Genomic DNA, 21,364 nt, shown 5'->3' with positions numbered 1-21,364 from the left:
TCAATCCCGACAGGCCCACAGCAGCCTCTCTAGGAGAAAATCACACTTGAGCGCAGTGAGCCACTTTGTCAAGTTCAAGTTGACTTTGGTGAACAAGTCAGTTCTTACTGATGTAACCCACTTCCAAATATTGTCTCAAAATTTTAGGGACTAGAAAATAGAGACTGGTTTCTCCCAGCTAAAGCTGGCTTGTTCTCCAAAAGTCATCTTTATTTCAGACCAAGATGAGTACTCTGACTGCCCGGCAGAAGACAGAGGTGGAGCCTTCCCCGCAACCCTCCAAGTCTCCTGACCTCAGCCTTCCCAGGGCCAGGCAGGGAGCCACGCACCCAGGAGCTCTTTGAAAAGGGGCTACTCTTTTTTCCAGGATCTCTGGCTCCCATTCCCTGAAAGAGCCACATTTGATTTGGCAGCTCATTGGATAGAACCAAGAAGATCAACGTTTTTCTCAACCTGAGGCTTGGGCACAGCAGACGAAGACAGGGTGTGTAGTTGAGAATGGAAGGCAGGGCACCCACAAAGTGACAAAGGGAGAGTTCTGAGGAGGGCAAGGAGCAAAACAGACAATTTGCCAGGGAAGTTGACAACTAACTGCCAGGTCCAGCCACACTGCACTCACGTCTCTCACCTTAACAAACTGCAGATCCGAAAGGGCTCGCACCGAGTAATCGGGGATGTAGACTTGGAGGAGCGAAGAATTGAGCTGGTTATTGCTGCTCCCCAGTGTTGGTGTGACGGCGTCAATCCGGTCGCTTCGACTGAGAGAGTCTGAGTGATTCAAGCCACATGGGCGAGGAGGGGACTTATTTTCACCTGGAAAAGGAGGGAAAAATCCAACTGTTTAAGTGAAGTAGATACAGCCAATAAAACCAGTTATTTTCCAAAATAAAAAATACTAAATGCCACACAAGCCCAGCCAACTGATTCCAGATGTCTCGGCCGCACAGTATGCCAGAGGGTATCCTATGTATGGCGGACTCGCGGGCTTCCCTGTACCAGCAGGCTATGTCCATCTCAGCTGCTTGGCCCTGTGTATGTGACAGACACAATCCTCCCAAGTCTCTAACAGCAAAAACCCTGCACTGTGTGCCTTCGTGAGGAACATTCCCGGGTACTGTGAGATGCTCAGGCGAGGTTGGGCCAAGGCCCAACATGCAGAAGCTGCTTGATATCAAAGGTAGGCTACGCAGAGGACAGCACTTCATTACTTTGCCCGAAGTAAAAACAAGGGACTCTTGAGAATATTAATAAATCAGTATGTATTATAAAGGGATCAAAATACTCATCTGCTCATACCATACCCTCTAGCTGAACCTATTATCTTCGTCTCTGACCCCAGTAAAATCCCCCATCAGGTAGCCCGAGGATGTCTCAGGAATTCAAGAAAGCTAGAAGACACCAAATCCCTAACGAGTTTGAGTAAGTTATCTTGGGTGCTAGAGTCTTCAGTGAGGTTTTGTGGCATCCTTCCCTTAAAACAAAGTGGAAGGAGCGCCAGTCTGGGTGTTGTTGCTCTTAAATGGAAGTTCACTGTGGCTTCTAATGGAAACGTCATTAAAAAATGCCCCCTCATCAAGGCTTCTTTCACTTTTTGCTTTTCTAACCAACTACTGCAGATAGGAACTGTGTGCCCACCCTGGCCAGGTCTTGAATTGCATCGTATCACAGGATTGGAGGGGACCATTTCTCCCATCTGACGCTTGGCTCCTCTTTGCAATGTGTCCCTGACAGCTGCCCTCGGAGGAGCTGGCCCTTGGCTGCACCTGCCCTTCGGCTATCGGGAAAGTTTGTCATTGTGCCCATCCAAATGTGCCTCCCTAACTTCAGATGACAGCCTCACTTCCTCTGTGTGGAGCTTTAGTACCTTTTCTTTCTCTGCTATTCAAAATAGCCCTTAGATAGGTGAAGAGAGTGATGGTCTCCTTAAGTCTCTTCTCTAGGATAAATCTTGCAGCTGTTCATCTCACCCCATCACCGTCTTAAAACAGGACACCCGGAACAAAACATAAGTACTCCAAGAATCTCCAGTGATGAGTTCACTTTCTCCTAATATTTTTTTCTTTTTGAGACAGGGTCTTGCTTTATCACCCAGGCTGGAATGCAGTAGTGTGATCTTGGCTCACTGTAGCTTCAACCTCCTGGGCTCAGGGGATCCTCCTACCTCAGCCTCCTGAGTAGCTGGGACTATAGGCATGTGCCACCATGCCCAGCTAAGTTTTGTATTTTTGGTATAGATGGGGTTTTTGCCATGTTGCCCAGCCTGGTCTTGAACTCCTGAGCTCAAGTGATCTTGTCGCCTCAGCCTCCCAAAGTGCTGGGATTACAGGCGTGAGCCACCGTGCCTGGCCACTTTCTCCTAAAATTTTTGTATCTTAACTCTCCCTCCAATTGTCAAGTCATGAACTAATTTTCCATTGTTAGACAAATTAAATTCAGAGTGGCAGTTCCCCTTGTTTCCATTTCTACGAGAACAAGGCAAATTAACAATTTATCAGACTTATATTTAGCAGAATGGATCTTTGAATAGGTGACCCAATTTTGCTAAGTTTCAGATTCTTTATCTGTAAAATGTGGATGATGGTACCGGGTACCCTTTTGTTTTGTTTTGTTTTGAGACAGTCTCCCTCTCGTCACCCAGGCTGGAATGCAGTGGTGCGATCTTGGCCCACTGCAACCTCCACCTCCCAGGTTCAAGCAATTCTCTTGCCTCAGCCTCCTGAGTAGCTGGGATTATAGGCATGCACCACCACGCCCAGCTAATTTTTGTATTTTTAGTAGAGACGGGGTTTCACCGTGTTGACTAAGCTGGTCTTGAACTCCTGACCTCAGGTGATCCACCTGCCTTGGCCTCCCAAAGTGCTGGGATTACAGGTGTGAGTGCTGCACCCAGCCCTGGTACCCATCTTATAAGGTCTGACAAGGATTAAAAATAAGATCACGTACAAAGTGCTTATCTGACAACAGTAGGTACCCCATAAGTGAGCCCAGCTGGCATTTTCTATTCTTTTTTTTTTTTTTTTTTTTTTTTTTGAGACGGAGTCTCGCTCTGTCGCCCAGGCCAGACTGCGGACTGCAGTGGCGGAATCTCGGCTCACTGCAAGTTCCGCTTCCCGGGTTCACGCCATTCTCCTGCCTCAGCCTCCCGAGTAGCTGGGACTACAGGCGCCCACCACAGCGCCCGGCTAATTTTTTTGTATTTTTAGTAGAGACGGGGTTTCACCTTGTTAGCCAGGATGGTCTCGATCTCCTGACCTCATGATCCACCCGCCTCGGCCTCCGAAAGTGCTGGGATTACAGGCGTGAGCCACCGCGCCCGGCCCATTTTCTATTCTTTCTTGTCAGCTTCCTCCCGGACCTTGCCACCATGCGCCCACCCCATGACCAAGGTTTTGCACATGCAGTGACTTCACCCAGGGTGACAGATTAGTCCTTTTTTTGAAACGAGATCTTACTGTATCCCTGCGCTTTGGCCACCAATCTCATCACCATTTCTAGATACTTTTGAAACAGTGTTTGTGTGTTAACATTTGAAGGCTATAAAAACAAAACATTTCAAGGTACTTTGCTTGTCTGAGGCCTCCTGCAGTAATTCTGAGTCTCCTGTTTTCTCCTGAGAAGGATTTTAGGGGGATTTCTCTGATCTTCCAAAGCATCTAGACTCAGTCTGCTTCCTCTCGCCCCACTGCCCTCTGTTTGTGTGAGTGGACCCTCTCCTCTGCCAAGAGCCTGATGCCTGGCCCCATGGCCACCCTCTGGAGGAGCAGGCCCTGCCTTCCATGTCCCTTTCAACAGCTCGACGGGCGCCAGCGCGAGCAGAGGCGCTGCAACCCTGAGCTTGAGCCCACTGCTCAGAGCCTCAAGTGCCATCTTACTTAAAATATTAATAATAATAAAGGTCCACATTCTTCATCTGAAGCCCTTGGGGGCCAGAGAGATGTTTGAATTCTGGAAGGTGATACAGTCCATACACCCCATGTTACATACACCACCAGCAATTCTGGGGCGGCCCTAGTCCGCAAACACATTAACTTTTGGTGAGACGGACAAGGATTCACAACAAGTAGAGCTAAAACCGTAGTGGCTGACCCCCAGTTCAGGTCAGGTTTTGTGGCCAAGTTTATGTTCCAAAGTTTTATGATAGTAATTATGGAAAAAACTCCGAAGATAAATATAGGAAAATTGTGTTACCAACTAGGAAATCCCAGCAATTTTAATTAAAGACAGATTAAGCCTTTTCCCTTCTTTTTAATAGCTGGACGTATTAGTTAGGACTGGCCACCCTCTCCTGCAGGGCAGTCGGCAGCAGCGGGATAGGAATGTGCCGGGTGTTCACTCCAAAACAAAGTCAGGTGGCAGGGAGAAGCGGGGTCGCCTGCCTGGTGGCGGGGAGAAGCGGGGTCGCCTGCCTGGTGGCGGGGAGAAGCGGGGTCGCCTGCCTGGTGGTGGGGAGAAGCGGGGTCGCCTGCCTGGTGGTGGGGAGAAGTAGGGCCGCCTGCCTGGCGGACAGCAGAGGCGCTCGCGCTCCACTCACACGGATGTGGGAAGAACCCAGGATACAAGAATGTCGTGCGCCTGTGTGGATGGGGTATTTTTCTTGCTTACCAAGAAGAGTTCACAGCTCTCAGGCCTTTGGCAAATGTGCTCTATAAAAGCGGCCTCAGGGTTTGAGGCCCTCAGGGCCTCTGCAAACTCCAGATACCATGACTTGCTGAGGTCAGAATAAGAACCAAGAACAGTCCCCTACTGCTGACCTGAAAATTCAAGGTCAGCCACAAGGGCAGGGAGCGCTAACAATCCACACCAGAGCCGCCCTCCCTTTCCATGCTTCATGGCTACTCCTGTGCATGGTGACTTTGCGCTGTTCTGGACTCTCCACCTGCTGTGGCTTATGCTTTCCTGGAGAGCTCGCTATAAAGTTACGGAACCTTAGAGCTTTAGCGCTCCAAGGAACACTGAAAACAGCCTGTCCAGGTAAAGGGAGCAGACCCAGCCAGCCAGGCGTGATGGGGGGCAAGGAAGGCAATCAGGAGAATTACGGAAAGGAAGCATGCAGAATTACCTGGAGAACCTGCTGCTAACAACTCTGTTCTGCTGACAACAAAGGTACGAGACAGGGACAAAGGAACTGAAAAATGGAGAAAAACAGGGTGAGATCGCATCAAAAGGCAAGAACAGAGATCTCTGTAATCAAGGGACAGGAGGGGATACTTGTTCTATCAATACAATATGAGCATTCAGTTGCAGAAATGCAAGTCGGTATGGTATTATAGAAACAAAACAACACACACTGCTTTCCAGGAAGAGGAATACAGGGAGGCCAAGATCAGGAGAAATCCTACCCACGAGTTTGTTACTAACCAAGAAATCTCTTAAGCCACTAATAACCAATTGGGGTTGATAGCTCGAAACCTGCTACTCTTAAGGGCTTAAATCACCAGTAGCTGCGCAAAAGGGGAGCTCGATTAGTCAACTGCCCTAAGAGCCTGACTCAAACCGCTGGCGCCTGCACCCCAATACTCACTCACTGCACAGCCTACAGCTCCCCATCTGTGCAACTTTAGCTCATTTTAATTTTGACCTGAAGCTTTGAATTGTTAGGAACGCTTTCAAATCTCAACATAGAGGAAAGTAAGTAAAGAACGCATACACAGATTTCCTGGGAATGCAGACCAGAGTCATCCTCATCACCACTTACTCACTGCCCCATCAGATTGAAAAGTCTCAGAACATGAAATGTTGAGCAGGAATCACACCTCTGGGGCAGGTAGGTCTTAAGAACTGATTATTGTCGGTTTTCCCCAGACAGCGAACATCAATAAACAGAAACTTTACCTTGTGATATCTGTACTAACTGTGCCTCTCAATGAATATACAAAATCCCAAATCTTAGTTGTAAAGTTAAGTAAAATACTAGGCTTTGGAATAGGTAAGATGCCATTAATGAAATTCCCCCCCCGCTTTTTTAGTTTCAGATGGATTCTCGCTCTGTCACCTGGGCTGGAGTACAGTGGCGTGCTCTGCGCTCACTGCAACCTCCACCTCCCAGGTTCAAGCGATTCTCCTGCCTCAGCCTCCCAAGTAGCTAGGACTACAGGCATGTGCCACCATGCCTGGCTAATTTTTGTATTTTTAGTAGAGATGGGGTTTCACCATGTTGGCCAGGCTGGTCTTGAACTCCTGACCTCAAGTGATTTCCCCTTCCTTTTTAGCAGTTCCAGACTCAGAGGGCTGCTCACCACATCCTCTTCTAAATGAGACTTGTCCTTCCATTACAGTTCAACAGGAACTGCGCTGGTATTTATGTTTCAGGAACCAGTAATTGGTAGAAATGTACAACCCACTCCTAGTTTATTTTCAAAGCCATCTTATAAATCTGGTTCTGCTCACCTGGGGCTAATTTGAGGTCAGCTGCCAAAACTCATCACAGTCAGGCACCTTTCTACTATACTCACATTTCCCCTCATGCTTTCAAGGGGACGAAGCACTTGTGTGAGGATCACTGCATCCTAGTCTTCTAATAATCACATGAGCTGGCATCATTATATCCTCTTAACAAGGATGAGACCAAGGGCCTCGCTCAACACCACACGACCTGCCTGTGATGGAACTGAAGCTATAACCCAGGTCTTCTCATGCCTAGGTAAGAGCTACCCTGTCTCTCTCACTAAGCAGTGAAAACGAAGGTCACCTTCAAGTTTACAACAGAAACCTACTCATTAAGTAGGGTCAGACAGGCCCATGTTCACAGTGGGTGTTGGGTGTTGGTCAGCAGTTGACAGTGGGGACACTGTGCCTCCAGGACTCAAACACCTGCACAAGGATAGTGAGAAGGGGCATTTGGGGCAGAGGAAGTTTAGAAATACGACAGAATTCTTGACGTCTCAGTGACTTTCTAACTGAAACATCTTTGGGTTCCTCAGACTACTGGGTGGAGCAGTCGATGAAGACCAATGTCACAGAAACAGTCTTGTCTGGAGGCATCTCCTCCCCTTGGAAGCCTGGCTTTCAGGAATTCTTTTAAAATGGGTTATTTTTAGGTTTGAGGTTTGTAAATGAAGTTTCCTAAAACCGCACATCATTTGGTGTTTTTGCCACAAGGTGGCACCCCAGCATCTCTGTCGACCTGCCCGACCTGTTCGGGCTGCCTCAGGTATTAATAGCAAGCGTGTGCGCTCTGCCAAGCAGCGCCATCCCCAGAGGCCAGCAAGCCACCAGGTATCTATCTGTGTTCATGTCTGAGAGCACATCTGGCTGGCTGGCATCTTGGAATCTTGTGTTCAGAGAACTGTCAATCCCCCATGGCCACCCACCCTTAACTGGCTGACTCGCCTGGCCAGCTCTCCAGACAAGAGCCGGCCACAGGCAGTCAGTATATAGCAACAACCTCATTCGTCCTCAGAAACATGCAAATTAAGACCTCCCAAACTGCTAACATTTAACAGACTCAACAATACCAAGTGCTGGATGCAGAGCAACCGGAATTCACACAGCACAGGTTGGGAGTAAGCAGGTACATCAGAGCTGAATCCAGAGGCACACCCTCTGACACGTAGCGCCAGTCCCAGGTGCGCACCCAGCAGAAATGGACACACACGTTCACCCAAAGACATGTATAAGAATGTTCAAAGCCACATATTGACAGTAGCCCCAGACGGGACTACCCCAATGTCTATCAGCAATGAAAGGACACGTGCACTGCTGTGTATTCACACAGTGGCATACTAGACATGGCAAGAGGAAATAGTGTGATCACACACAGCAACAGAGGTGATGTGACAAGCACGACACAGAGAAAGGAGCCAGCCTCTGTGTAACACACACAGTGTCTCCATTTATGCAAAGTTCAAAAGCAGGCAGAATTAGGCTGAGAAGTCAAGAAAGCAGTTACTCTGGGGGACCAGTGACTAAAAGGGAGCGTGATGGGAGTTCTGTGGGGCTGGTAACGTCCTGTCTCTTGGTCTGGGTGCCACTTTACACGTGTTCAGTTTGTGAGAATTCATGGAGGTATATACTTAGGATTTGTGCAGATTTTCTGCATATATGATATACTTCAAAAAAAAAGTTCAAAAAGGAAGTGAATGGGGTCAGCTGGCAGATACAGAAAGCAAGATGAAAGGAGAGGGGCCTTACTTCCTAACACGTGGTCCTGCCCTATGCGGCTGGGAACCAAACATACCTGGAGAGGCTGTCAGGGCCATCACGCCATAGTATGAGAAGGCGCTCGCTTCAAACTTCATACCTTCTTTCCCAGCTTCAACTTCCACTTTCCCCTGTGGAGAGAAAAGGCAGGTATTTTCAGTCCAGTTGCAAAAGCCTACTGGCACACTCTGTACAATATTTGGTCCTTCCTTAGATTTTTGTCTGATTTCTTTTCCCAACACTATCGAGGGAGTAAAGCTTCAGCTCATCTTTCCCACTGAGAGGAGGGGGCTCATTCGCTTTAAATATGAAAACTGGATTTGGCTGATTATACAGAGGTGACAGTGTAAATGTGATGTTTATTTTTAAAATAATTCTTAAATTAAAAACTTAAAATACAGTTTTCTTTGTAGAGATAGATCTCCTTATGTTACCTAGGCTGGTTTTGAACTCTTGAGCTCAAATAATCCTGTCTCACTGTCTTGGCCTCCCAAAGTGCTCCCAAAGGGATTACAGGCGTGAATCACTGTGCCTGGCCTGTGATGTTTACTTTCTGTGAGTCCACTTAGTATCTTCCCAATATCTGTAGTTCTTGGATTCTTCAGGAGGCCTCCAGCAATGGAAAGGTGGTGCTCTTGCTCCATCAGTGGGACCAGCACCAAGATGATGCTGGGCGATGGCTGCCTAGGCTGTCCAAGGAGCCAGGGCCGGGGCTGAATCAGGGTCAAGGGCCGACATGGTTTGTGGCCATGGAACAGAGAGGAATAACCTGGGTAGAACCCACTCTGTCTCACGAGCACGGTGTCCTGACCACTGAGCAGACCCCTCGCAGGCTGGTAACTTGCTGTCTACACTCCTGGAGGCACTTAAATTCCATGGGATTTTTCTCCTGTCTTGGAAAAGCAGTTTGAAGAAAGTCTCCTTCCATTAAAATAAAGTTCCCCTCTCCTCCCCCTAAGATTTTCCCTTTTCTTCACTTTCGCTAACTTGTCGACAACTTCTTCTTTACCTTGATGAGTTCTTTTGGGATAGAGTGTCTTATTCATCCCTGGAACCCCAGGGTCCACTATAATCCCTGCATGGTAGGTGCTCATTGTGTTTTCTGGGCTACTGAAATGCTCTAAGTCAGTTTCACTTCTAGTTTCTCAGGCCAAGGGTCAGAAATGCTCTTGTTCCCATTACTACAACTGTGTGAGGCATCCTTTACAATGGGTGAACAAAAATTAAGATGCCATGTATTGAAAAGGAATTGTGCTAACACATCAGTGTTTTATGAATTCATTTAATGTGCACAACTCGATGCAGCAGACAAATCATTGCCCTCCTACAAATCAGGGGAGGGGGGATCAGCAAGATTTAGTAAAGAACAAGCTCTTCATCAGGATGCTAGGAGGCTGGGAGCAGTGGCTCATACCTGTAACCTCAGCACTTTGGGAGACCGAGGCAGGCAAATTGCTTGAGCCCAGGAGTTCAAGATCAGCCTGGGCAACACAGCAAGACCCCATCTCTACAAAAATTAGCCAGGCATGGTGGCGTGCACCTGTAGTCTCAGCTACTTGGGAGGATTACTTGAACCTGTGAGGCAGTGAGCCATGATCACGCCACTGCACTCCAGCCCAGGCCACAGAATGAGACCCTGTCTCAAAGAAAAAAAAAAAAAAAAGATGCTATGCCACCTGATGCAAACTATCATTTTATATTAAGTTTCCAATTACAAAAGGTCTTTCTTGGGCCATAGCTTCAGGAGAAGAACTACTGCCTCTCAGGTTTTCCTGCTCAACAGAAATGACAGTTCACCAGTCCCTAGCCAATTATCTTGCCGTATAAACTTACAACTCCACCCATGATATAAAATCCACCTGCAAATGGGCAGGTGCTACAAACCTTCCCCACACAGGCAGGGCCCTAGAGATGACACTGTGGAGTCGGAGATGACAGCCGTCATCCCCCACGGGCTGACCATGCAGCAGGGACAGGCGAGCACATGAGAAGCAACAGCCCACATGGCACACAAGAGCTCAGCATGAGGAAAAAGACATTGGGAACAGAAGCTCCCAGAAAAATCTTACTTCTTGTTCTTATATAAAGACAAATCGCATACAGGAAGGAAAAGCTGTGGATGACCAAGAGAAAGGGACAGCATGAGGGAGGCCCAGGGTGGCGGCAGCGGCCGGCCAGGCTCTGTGTTTGCAGGGAGGAGTGAGGGCACATCTGGAAGGCAGCTGGGTGAGCAGATCCCCAGGCAATGGGCTGGCAGGGTTGGGTCCTGGGTGGAGGAACAGAGTCTGCTTCCACGAGGGTGGCAGCCACAGGCCTGGGGAGGGAGTGCGGTAGAGAAGCTATTGATAAGGGACCAGCATGATTCGAAGAAGCCATCAGGGAGACAGGAGTATAGGAACCAGAGGCCCATTGGGAGGGGCTGAGGAACAGGGACACCACGAGTGGGAGAAAGAAGGTCTGGAGAGAGGTCAGGGCTGGAGATGGGGACCTGAGACAGGAAAAGGACCGAAGCTCAGCCCGTGACTGAGAGCAGCAGGGAAAACTGAAACCATAACAGGACCATGGCAGAGCCTGAAAAGGGAGGCCCAGACCACGGCACCATGGCAGAAGAGCAGGGGTCAGGAGAATTCCAGGGGCAAGGACGGTCAGGGCCTCAAGGTGCTCAAGGCCGCCGGGAGCAATCACTGACCACAGGCCGCTGGGGGCTGCAGGAGGCTTTCCTACCCTACAGAGGAATCAGTGGGAGGACAGTGGCCCCGGCAGGAGAGGGACAGGCAGCAGGACATCCCCATCTGTGGGGCCATGGGAAGGCTGTTGAAAATTCAGGACTCTGGGTGCTGGGGAAGTCCCTGAAGTAGGGTCCCTTCAAAGAGGAGGGGAGGAACAAGGTTCAGAGATAGCAACACACACAGGAGTAGCCACGGTACATGTCTCCCCAATTCCGTGTCCATCTCTTCCTGAACTGACATGTATGTGCTGGCTGCAAATGTCTGCTTTGTAGTTTGTAACCTCAAGAGTGGCTGCGTGACCAGCTCTGAGCCTGACCCTCCATGCAGGAAATCAGGAGGAAGAGTCAAATGCAGTGGAGCCTCATGGTGACTTCCGTTCCTGGGTGTCTCCAGTTATCTGGAGCATTTGTTGTACAAGTTACAGGGCCTTTTGTGTTGTGTCCCTGCAGACAGATGCCAGGTCACTATTCTTTGGAGATAAAACTGTCAGGACTAGTAGGGCAGGCACAACCAAAACAAGACTGTAAAACAGAAAACTGTACATCTTTTTTTCTATTTAATCCATAGGTTCACACCATCTGTCTCTTGGAAGCGTGCGGTGGTTCCACTCTGAGGCCTGAAGCTCTGCCTTGCACACTCAAAGCAGAGATTCCCAGATTACCGACTCTGGCTCCGGCCCTCGGGCATTCTCATTTAACAATATAGGTGAATCTGGGCATCAGGATTTTATTTAAAAAGATTTCCGGGTGATTCTAGCAAGCCACAAACTTTGGGAATCATTGCTTTAAGGCTCTGTCTGTGAACAATGGCCCCAGCCCTGGAAACTGTGTGCCCTGGCCTCTCAAGGGACTCCCTCAAAGGCAGTGTAGCTGAGTCAACTGATTAAGCAAGGGCGGCTGCAAGACTCAAAACTCCAGACCACTGCCATTCCAGCTGATGCTTCCTCTGTCCTTCCAGACAGGATCCCAGGCAGGGGAGGATCTGCCATCTTCCCTCTGGACTCCATCTAGTTGAGATTCACTGCTGCGGGGTGGATATGCTAAGCTCAGTGATTCCTAGACATTTCCATCCTAACGGCCAGTAAGACGCACCTCTACAGAGACAGATACAGGGAAAGATACGGGGTTGCCAAATTTTTTTTTCATAAAGATGGTTTTAAAATTTATTTTTTCAGACAGGGTCTTACTCTGTCACCCAGGCTGGAGTGCAGTGGTGCAATCATGGCTCACCGCACCGGTGGTGAGAATCCTGCAGCCTTGAACTCCTGAGCTCAAGCAACACTTGTAACTCAGCCTCCTGAGTAGCTGGCACTACAGGTGTGCACCACCATGCCCAGCTAATTTTTCTATTTTTTTATAGAGACGGGGTCTCACTATGTTTCCCAGGCTGGTCTTGAACTCCTGGCTGATCCTCCCTCCTCAGTCTCCCAAAGTGTTGGGATTACAGGCATGAGCCACCGTGCCAGGGCAAAATAAAGGTATTTATTTTAAAAAACACAACTATTGCCAGGCACAGTAGCTCACACCTGTAATCCCAGTTACTGGGGAGGCTGAGGCAGGAGGATTGCTTGAGGTCAGGAGCTCAAGACTAGCCTGGGCGAAATAGTGAGGCACTGTCTCAAAACAAAACAAAACAAAAAAAACAGCTATCTACTGTTACCATCATTTCATAAAAGACCAGACATTTAACCCCTCAAATTTAGAAAATATGTCATTTCAGAGTAATAGGTCTTCAAACTGAATACACATAGCTTTATGAAAAGCTCATCGCAACTGTCTTTATTTTCTCATTCTGCCTCAAACTGGCAAAAACTTTGTTAAAATATCTCAGCACTTAGGAAGAGTTATCACATTAGAGTAATTTTACTTCATATAAAGTTGCAACAGATTAAAGGGTACCTGCAGTTCTTTCAGTTCTATAATAGCATTCTATGACTCTACAATTCCAAGAGTTGTCAAACCTGCCCACCCCACTACATCCCTCTCTATAGGATTTAAGCTTTTCTGGCAGGCAAGTTTTAAAAACATCCAGTAAACGTATCTTATTCATTTACGTGTTAGTGGTTCCAAAAAACATTCATTTTCAAATAACCTACCAGTATACAAAAATTAGGGCACAGGAGGAGATGGCTTACCTGGTTCGAGATTAATTAGGTGTCCTTTCAGATAACAACTTTTTCCATATAAGGAAGCTACATATTGATTTTACTTTTGAAACATCTGTAAGTTTACTCTAGTCGAGCATATCACCAAAAAAACCAGGACAGGACATGATGAATTCCAAGAATTCCCAGAGGGAAGTAGGGCTTCATGCTTATAAACTGACGAACTTGGAAGAAGGACTCACTGGACCAGCAAAGTTGGCTTCCTGAGTAAAGCATCTCTCACAGCATCCTGCCCTTCTTTGGACAAAGGTATCAGATAACCTCTTCTCAAAGTTTCTAAGTGTCCACAACCTACTCAACAGCCCGTGCCATGTCTGGCTTCAAAGTGGAATCCTAAACTTCCCTAGCCAGCGTGGGCACAACCACACTGGTGCAAACAGTGCCAACCCGGGATCAGTGCATGCGGCTCAAGGCGGGACTTCCCCATGCGCCACATGCTGAGCAGCCACCTGGTCTCCCGCTCACCTTCTTGTTTTTTAAATCGCCATCACAAAGTATTCAGGGGGGCCTGACTCCTGAAAGCAGGTGATGAGATGCCAGGGGCACAAAGACTGGGTTGTATTAACCGAGAGAGGAGTTGCAGCACCCAAAGATGCCCACTCAAAGCCTGGGGAGACCTGGTGCCCCGACACTCTCTAGCAATGCTTTCAATCTGGAGTCTGCAATGGAATGGCCAGACTCAGCAAGTTTGCTAAATTTACTTTTCTAAATATTGATGGTCAAAATTAATTTAGACACATTTTGGACCATCTGACTGACCATTTTCCAATCAAGTGCTACCACCAGATGTCAGTGCCAGCACCCGCCTTGGCCACTCTGGTGCCACGTGGTATTACTTGGAGCATCACAGCTAAGCCTTGCTACTGTCAACTGGGAGCTTGCTGGTAACGCAGCATCTCAGACTCCACCCCAGACCTACTGAAGCATTCGTTTCATACTGAAGGATCTGCCGTTCAACAAGACCCACAGGTGAATCCTCTGCACATTAAATTCTGAGAAGCACTGAGCTAATGAGTAGGGAACAGAGTGGGATTTAACAGGGAAGTAATTCAGTCACACCCAGTGGAGGCCAAATAATAGCACGACACACTGTAGAAACATTCAAAGTAGCTCAAATTTGGCAAAGGGCTGGAGGGTGCAGACATCTTGGACACACAAAGGCCCAGGTGTGCTGAATGCAAGGGAGCTCGCAGGGCAGCAGCCCTCCACAGCCCTGGGATGGGGCCCTTCCAGGTCAGCCAAATATCATCTACACATTGAGAATTTATTCATTTGATAGTTTGTTTTGGTTTATAGTTATATATAAGAGTTCTAAGCAAAGGAATCTTATACCTAGTCAATTTTATACTGACATATACTTAAGTAGTATAATTTTAAAAGTTTCAATGCTGGGTGTCCAAGTAAAATGGGTGTGTTATCTGTGCTTGACTCAAGATTAAGGATCCGTTACTGCACTAGGGTACACAGACCGTGCAACTTAAAAACCCATGAGGAGGTTGCTATTAAAAGCTTAAATTCTCCTTCCTATCAGGTGAAGGGTGAAGGCATACTAAGTATTTCAAGGGCTGTATAAATTTTAAGATGCCACCTGCCATACTCCACAAGACGACCCCCGTTTATAGGGAAAAGTCCCTTTTGAATCCATGTCAGATGCTCTAAAAAAGAGTGTGGATGGGCCGGGCACATGCTTTCCACTTCTTCCATTACTACATAGTGATCCCTCATATTATCATCTCACTTTGATTAGCTAGACGTGAACTGTTTCTACTACTTTATAGTTAATAGATTTGCTATAAATATATTTGCATAGATAGCTTTGTAAAACAATGATTTAGATGGGAGGCTACCAGTTTAGGATATGATTTATTGTACTTTTTCTTTTTTGTCTACCATTCAGTTAAAAATTTGAGGGGATGGGGCATCTGTTTCCTAAAATCAGTAATAGATGCTTAACTTTGTCAACTGTCTGACATCTACTGATATAAATATCATTTTTTTTTACTACTTTCCCAATTAATGTGACATATTTTGGTTTTGTTGTTCTTAAACTAGAACTGCATTCCTAAAATAAACCCAGTTCAGTCACAGCCACAAGTCAGTAACCCTGGGTGTGTGTTGCTATCTGCTACCATTTTATTTAGAAATTCTACATCAATGTTAACAAGTGAGATTGGCTTATATTATCAGATTTTAGGATTAAGCCCATATTAGCCTTAAAGAATGCAATTGACTATCATGCCATCTTGTTCTATAATATAGAAATTGTGAGTTTTTTGAAGATTGACTATTTTTTCTAGCAAATCCTTTTATTCTAGCTGCTTTTATAGGAGAGGAGAGAACTTTTTTTTCCTTTTATCACATCAATTATGCCAACAGAACACTGACTCTGTTCATATTTTCAAAGAGCCAAATCTTGATTGTGTTTGTTGGTTATAAGGCATTTTCAATTTTAAATTATTATTATATATATTTTTTTGAGACAGAGTCTCGCTCTGTTGCCCAGGCTGGAGCAGTGGCGCGATCTCAGCTCACTGCAACCTCCGCCTTCTGGGTTCAAGTGATTCTCGGGCCTCAGCTTCCTGAGTAGCTGGGACCACAGGCGCACACCAACACGTCTAGCTAAGTTTTGCATTTTTAGTAGAGACGGGGTTTCACCATGTTGGCCAGGCTGGTCTCAAACTCCTGACCTCAAGTGATCCGCCTGCCTCAGCCTCCCAAAGTGCTGGACAGGTGCAAGCCACCACGCCCGGCCAGTTTATATAACAATCTTTATTAATTTGTTCTTTTTTAGTTTGCTGCTTTGCTCTTTTTCCACATAATTATAGTTCTATTTTCTTTTTAAGTACGTAAGGAATAAGATTTCTTAAAACTGACAGACCACCTCTATGGTATTTACATTATTTAATAATAGACTTTTATGGTAATACTATATATATTTTATTACATTCTATATGTTTTCTCTAACTCAGTTGCTATTTAGGACTTTTATTTTGTCATTAGCTCTATTTTTAAATTAAATAGTACATGCGCATGGTGAGAAATTTAAACTATGCAAGGAAGAAGTCAGTCTTCCTTCCACCCTGTTTTCAACCTTTCAAGTTGCCTCCTTAGAGACTCGTTGTTACCAGTTTATTGGGTAACCTTCTGAAGATATTTCATGTAGATTTGCATGTTTCTTTTACAAAAAAGAGAGTACATTATACACTATGTTCTGTGTCTTGAATATAAACCTACATAAGAGAATGTATCACAATTTTAACATGACTTAGTATTTTTTAATATATGACCTTTTCTTTTTTTAAATTTATCTTATTTTGTTTGGAGATGGGGGTCTCACTCTGTCCCTCAGGCTGGAGTGCAGTGGCACGATCTCGGCTCACTGCAATCTCTGCCTCCCAGGCTCAAGTGATTCTCCCACCTCAGCCTCCTGAGTAGCTGCCACCACTCCTAGCTGATGTTTGTATTTTTGTAAAGACAGGGTTTCACCACATTGCCCAGGCTGGTCTTGAACTCCTGGACTCAAGTGATCTGCCCGCCTCAACCTCCCAAAGTTCTGGGATTACAGGCGTGAGCCACCATGCCCAGCACTTTTATGTATTTTTTATTTCGAATTTTATTTCATTATCATCGATTCAGGTAGTTTCATGAAATTTCTATCTTTTTGTATTTACTAGCATGTACACTGTAACATGATAAATGATCAATTTTTATGAGTCACATAGCTTTTTTATTGAGACATGCTCACTCTGTCGCCCAGGCTGGAGTACAGTGGCACAATCACAGCTCACTGCAGCCTCCAACACCTGGGCTTAAGCAATCCTGCCTCAGCCTCCTGAGCAGCTGGGACTGTAGGTACCTGTCACCAAACCCGGCTAATTTTTAAAAAATTTTTTGTAGAGAAGGGGATCTTGCTCTGTAGCCCAGGCTGATAAACTTCTGGCCTCAAACGATCCTATCTTGACCTCCCAAAGTTCTGGGATTACAGGCATGAGCTACCACACCCAGCCCACATAAGCTTTTTCGAAAGTATATTTCTCTTGATTATGTTTAATTTCCTCCAAATCTGTTAATTCTATTTTACAAGGTATTCAGTTTAAAACTATGACTTTTTTTTTTAGTATGCCTGATCTTCTATGATGGTGGAAAAACACTTCCACCAAAATCATGTTCCTATTTCTTACATACGTATTTTGTTAAGTTATTTAAAGCATGTAGAGCCAATAAAGTTTTTTCCATGATTTACTGTGCTTTTAACTGTCTTTATTGCTTCTGAAATGCATTTTGGTGTAAAAATCTACTTTTACAGATAAAACTTGAAGTTTTGGCTTTTTTATGCATATGTAGTGGGAGGTATGTACATGGTAACTTACAAAATACTCTTGTTTACTTAGGTCATTTTCCTTGAATAATTTGGAATTTATCTTATCTAGGGCTTCAACTAAAAAATGATGTGTTTCTATTTACAATTATATTCCTATCAATTACTTAAAGGGTTTTTTCCTGCAGGGAGAGCATCTCACTGGCACTGAGGCCAGGAAGGGAAGGCAGATATTATTGCTTTTTTCTTATTTAGTGCTCTTGAAATGCAGTGGAGGCCAGACGCGGTGGCTCATGCTTGTAATCCCAGTGCTTTGGGAGGCTAAGGCAGGTGGATCACTTGAGGTCAGGAGTTCAAGACCAGCCTGGCCAACAAGGTGAAACCCCATCTCGACTGAAAATACAAAAATTAGCCGGGTGTGGTGGAGCACGCCTGTAGTCCCAACTACTTGGGAGCCTGAGGCAGGAGAATTGCTTAAATTTGGGAAGCAGAGGTTGCGGTGAGCCAAGATCACACCACTGCACTCTAGCCTGGGTGACAGAGCAAGATTCCCTCTCAAAACAAACAAAAAACAAAACAAACAAAAAAACAAACAAACTCCACAGTGGATCATGCTCCCTAAAGTGGCATGAACTTCCAACGCTGGCTTAGTGACATATTAGGTAGAATATGCTTTGTTAATGATGGCAGCTATGCCAGATTGACTGAGGCTGTGAGGGTGTTTCATTTTGCTCTTCTCTTTGTACCTTAGGTAACTGGCTGTCTGCAAGATCATGGTTTTTCACCAAACATCTCCGTAAGTCCTGTTCATCAAACATACACACTACTTGTAAAACCCCCATGGCATTATCAGCCTAACAGTTCAAAAAACTTGTCACCTTTATATAAGTATTTAACACAAATTGGTATACAAATACAGGTAAATATACATAGATGTCTTATCAAAAATATCTTAAAAGATTTACTTGTAAATGGACAGAGATTATGAAGTCCCTTTTCCATAAGATTTTTAGATCCATGGCTTTCTTATATAGCAATAAAGCATTACTGAATCACAACTTCATAAACACTAACTATATAAAAGTAGACAACTGAAAACCACAGTTTCTAATATTAACACTAAAATTCACAATGTCAATATTCCAATTCCTCCTGTGACAGTCTTTGATGTATCCAGAGTTTCTCCAGGCTTAAGGAATATTCGCATCTCACTCTTATGAGAAACATGAATGTTTTATTCCCTCACTGCAGTAAATAAACTAAATTCCCAACAGTGCACTCAGAGTTACAAGCTTACATTATCTCCAAAGAGGAAAGAAAAAAAACAATTGAGGAAAACTAAATTTAGAAGATGAATCAGCGTACTAAATTAGTAAACTTGCAAACAGAAGTTTCTAAGAAGGACTGTAAGAATGTGACATGTAATCAGCTAACCCTCGGCATTTTCCTACTCCTCACTCCTGCTTCCAAACACCACAATGCTGCCCAAACATGGGGTCACACATGAACACAACACTTTCCCGAGCTTGAATCTACACATTTGATCCACATTAGCATTTTATCGACTAATATCCACCTTGGCCTCCATGCCAAGGATAGAGCTCTATTAAGTGAAACTGTGATAAAACAAGGCCTCCTGTCAACCCAAGCACCAAAGCCACTCAAAGGAAGTTTAGAATGAATTGACCTTCTCACCTCATCTACTGAATTATGTTACAGTGAGAAGGAATTAGCTACTCTGCTGTAAGAGGCTGTAATTATCCTATCAGTTCCTCTATAAAACAGTTTGGTTGGTAACCAGGAATAAAAACAACAACAAATGGATTATTTTGATGGCGTTAATGGAAGAGATGCTAAGATATCTCTAAGAAGCTGTATAAACTTAAGTCCTCATGAAGGATGGAAAAAAGGATGGAAAAAGGACCAATAACCCATGACACTTAAATTTCAAACACCCACTGAGATTCAGACATGTACTGGTAAACTCTCCCACACTCTTCAAAAAATACTAACAATTGAATTCACCATTTTCATCTGACTCAGTAATCACTAGGTGCATCCCCCCAACTTTTTTTTTTTTTTTAAAACAGGGTTTTGCTCTGTCATCCAGGCTGGAGTGCAGTGGTGCAAACATGGCAACCTCCTGGGCTCAAGCAATCCCCGCCCCGCCCCCTGTCTTAGCCTCCCAAGTAGCTGGGACCACAGGTGCATGCCACCACATCCAGCTCATTTTTAAATTTTTTGTAGAGATGGTGGTCTCGCCATGTTGCCCAGGCTGGTCTTGAACTTCTGGCCTCAAGCAATCCTCCCACCTTGGCCTCTCAAAGTGGTGGAATGACAGGTATGTGCCACTGCACCGAGCCTACTAAGCACCTTTTAGTATTGAAAATTAAAGTAACTATTGGCATTGCTTTATATTAGAATTACTTTACAGATATGAAAACAGGAAGATAAAATTCTCCCATGTCTAAGGCTACCCCCTATAGAAAGGTTCAGTATGTACACGGTGACACCCATTCACTTACACCAAACTGAAAGATGGATACTCAGTGAGAGCAAACCACTATTGAATAATTCTTCTGACCTGCAGAATGAGAACGAAGTAGTCTACTGGCTTGTTGCGCTGGTAGAGGTAGTATTCGGGGGCTTTCTTGTTCTTCTCATCATATTTCAGTTCCTGGATGACATTGGGGTGCTTTAGCAGCCTTAGAAGGATCTTCTCTGACATCTGGGATGGGCTAAATGCTTCTACTTCTATAGATATAAACACAACTTGATATTACATTTCAAACAGAGAGAGAAAAATTATACTATTAATAGTAATTGAGGTGTTTAGATAAGAATACTTGGAATCAAAGTGATAGCATTTGAATGGACGAGGCTTCCGTTTGGTGATCCACTGGGGACAGATTACCTGGGAGAAATTAGAAAGTGCTGAATTCTCACATTTGTTCCTTTTACTTCTTTCCTTTTCAACCCATCATTGACTTCAGTCCTCATAAAAGTACACTAATTTCACTGACAGAAACGAAAATCAACGGCAAGCGGGCTCCTTGAGTGCGGGGGATGCCCCTCAACAAGCCATAACAGCCTGACTGTCGACCAACAGCCAAAGGAAGAAGCCAAGGTCAGGAGCATCAGGTGCGGTTAGTGCCAGCGCACACACACAGGTGCCCCACGTCTCCCTCTCCCACTCAACTACCCCAAGGAATGTGGGGAACAAAGAGGGTCGAGACTGGAAATAAGAGCAGGGCATGTGCACACATCAACATGCTAATTTAAAAAAAAAAAGTAATGTTCAAAAGTATTTACAAAGACAGCAATTTTATTTTAAATAACAAAAACAAAAATTACTGACTGAAGGGTGCTATCCTACAACTGGACTCTATGATATCTCAGAAGCAGAGTAGGAGATTTAGTTTTAGTTTTCTTTTTTTTTAATTTAAATTTTTTTTTTTTTTGAGAAGGAGTCTCACTCTGTCACCCAGGCTGGAGTGCAGTGACGCAATCTCGGCTCACTGCAACCGCCACCTCCCGGGTTCAAGTGATTCTTCTGCCTCAGCCTCCCGAGTAACTGGGATTACAGGCACCCACCACCATGCCTGGCTAATTTTTGTATTTTTAGTGGAGATAGAGTTTCATCATGTTGGCCAGACTGGTCTCAAGCAATCAGCCTGCCTTGGCCCCGCCAAGAGCTGAGATTACAGGCAATGAGCCACCATGCCCGGCCTAGATGTTTAGTTTTAATTTGTGGTACTTAAATGAGGAACAGTATTATCAAAATTAGAAAAAGAATAATAAGTGAAAGACATCGTCTGTTCTTTTATTTTCTAATTATGTATTTATGAAAGCTGTAAGTTCTGTATTAACTTGTGACTTTTTTGTAATAAGATAGTAATTACAGGAATTTTAGAAAATACAGAAAAAGAAAGAAGAAAGAAAAACTTATCTATAAGCCAACCACTCAGATTACCATTCTGAGCAATCAAGTGAGCATTTCTTTCCAGTGCCATG

At 45.1% G+C, this 21,364-nt stretch overlaps 1 protein-coding gene across 2 annotated transcripts in view; it reads right to left on the bottom strand.

The window, feature by feature from the left end:
* CNNM2 (cyclin and CBS domain divalent metal cation transport mediator 2) overlaps window positions 1-21,364 on the bottom strand; it is a 171,929-nt gene that overhangs the window by 13,324 nt on the left and 137,241 nt on the right. The window contains exons 4-7 of one of the 2 annotated variants that reach the window (NM_017649.5): window positions 19,935-20,104; window positions 8,177-8,270; window positions 5,060-5,125; window positions 629-813 (exon numbers count right to left, since the gene is read on the bottom strand). In NM_017649.5, the coding sequence (NP_060119.3) occupies window positions 629-813; window positions 5,060-5,125; window positions 8,177-8,270; window positions 19,935-20,104 (515 nt within the window). The remainder of the gene's footprint in view (window positions 1-628; window positions 814-5,059; window positions 5,126-8,176; window positions 8,271-19,934; window positions 20,105-21,364) is intronic. The other variant, NM_199076.3, reaches the window with a different exon arrangement.

The sequence above is a fragment of the Homo sapiens genome, chromosome 10, assembly GCF_000001405.40.
Source record: "Homo sapiens chromosome 10, GRCh38.p14 Primary Assembly".
Lineage (NCBI taxonomy): Eukaryota > Metazoa > Chordata > Mammalia > Primates > Hominidae > Homo > Homo sapiens.
Note: the sequence above shows the minus strand (reverse complement) of the source record. Positions and strands in the feature narration are given on the sequence as shown.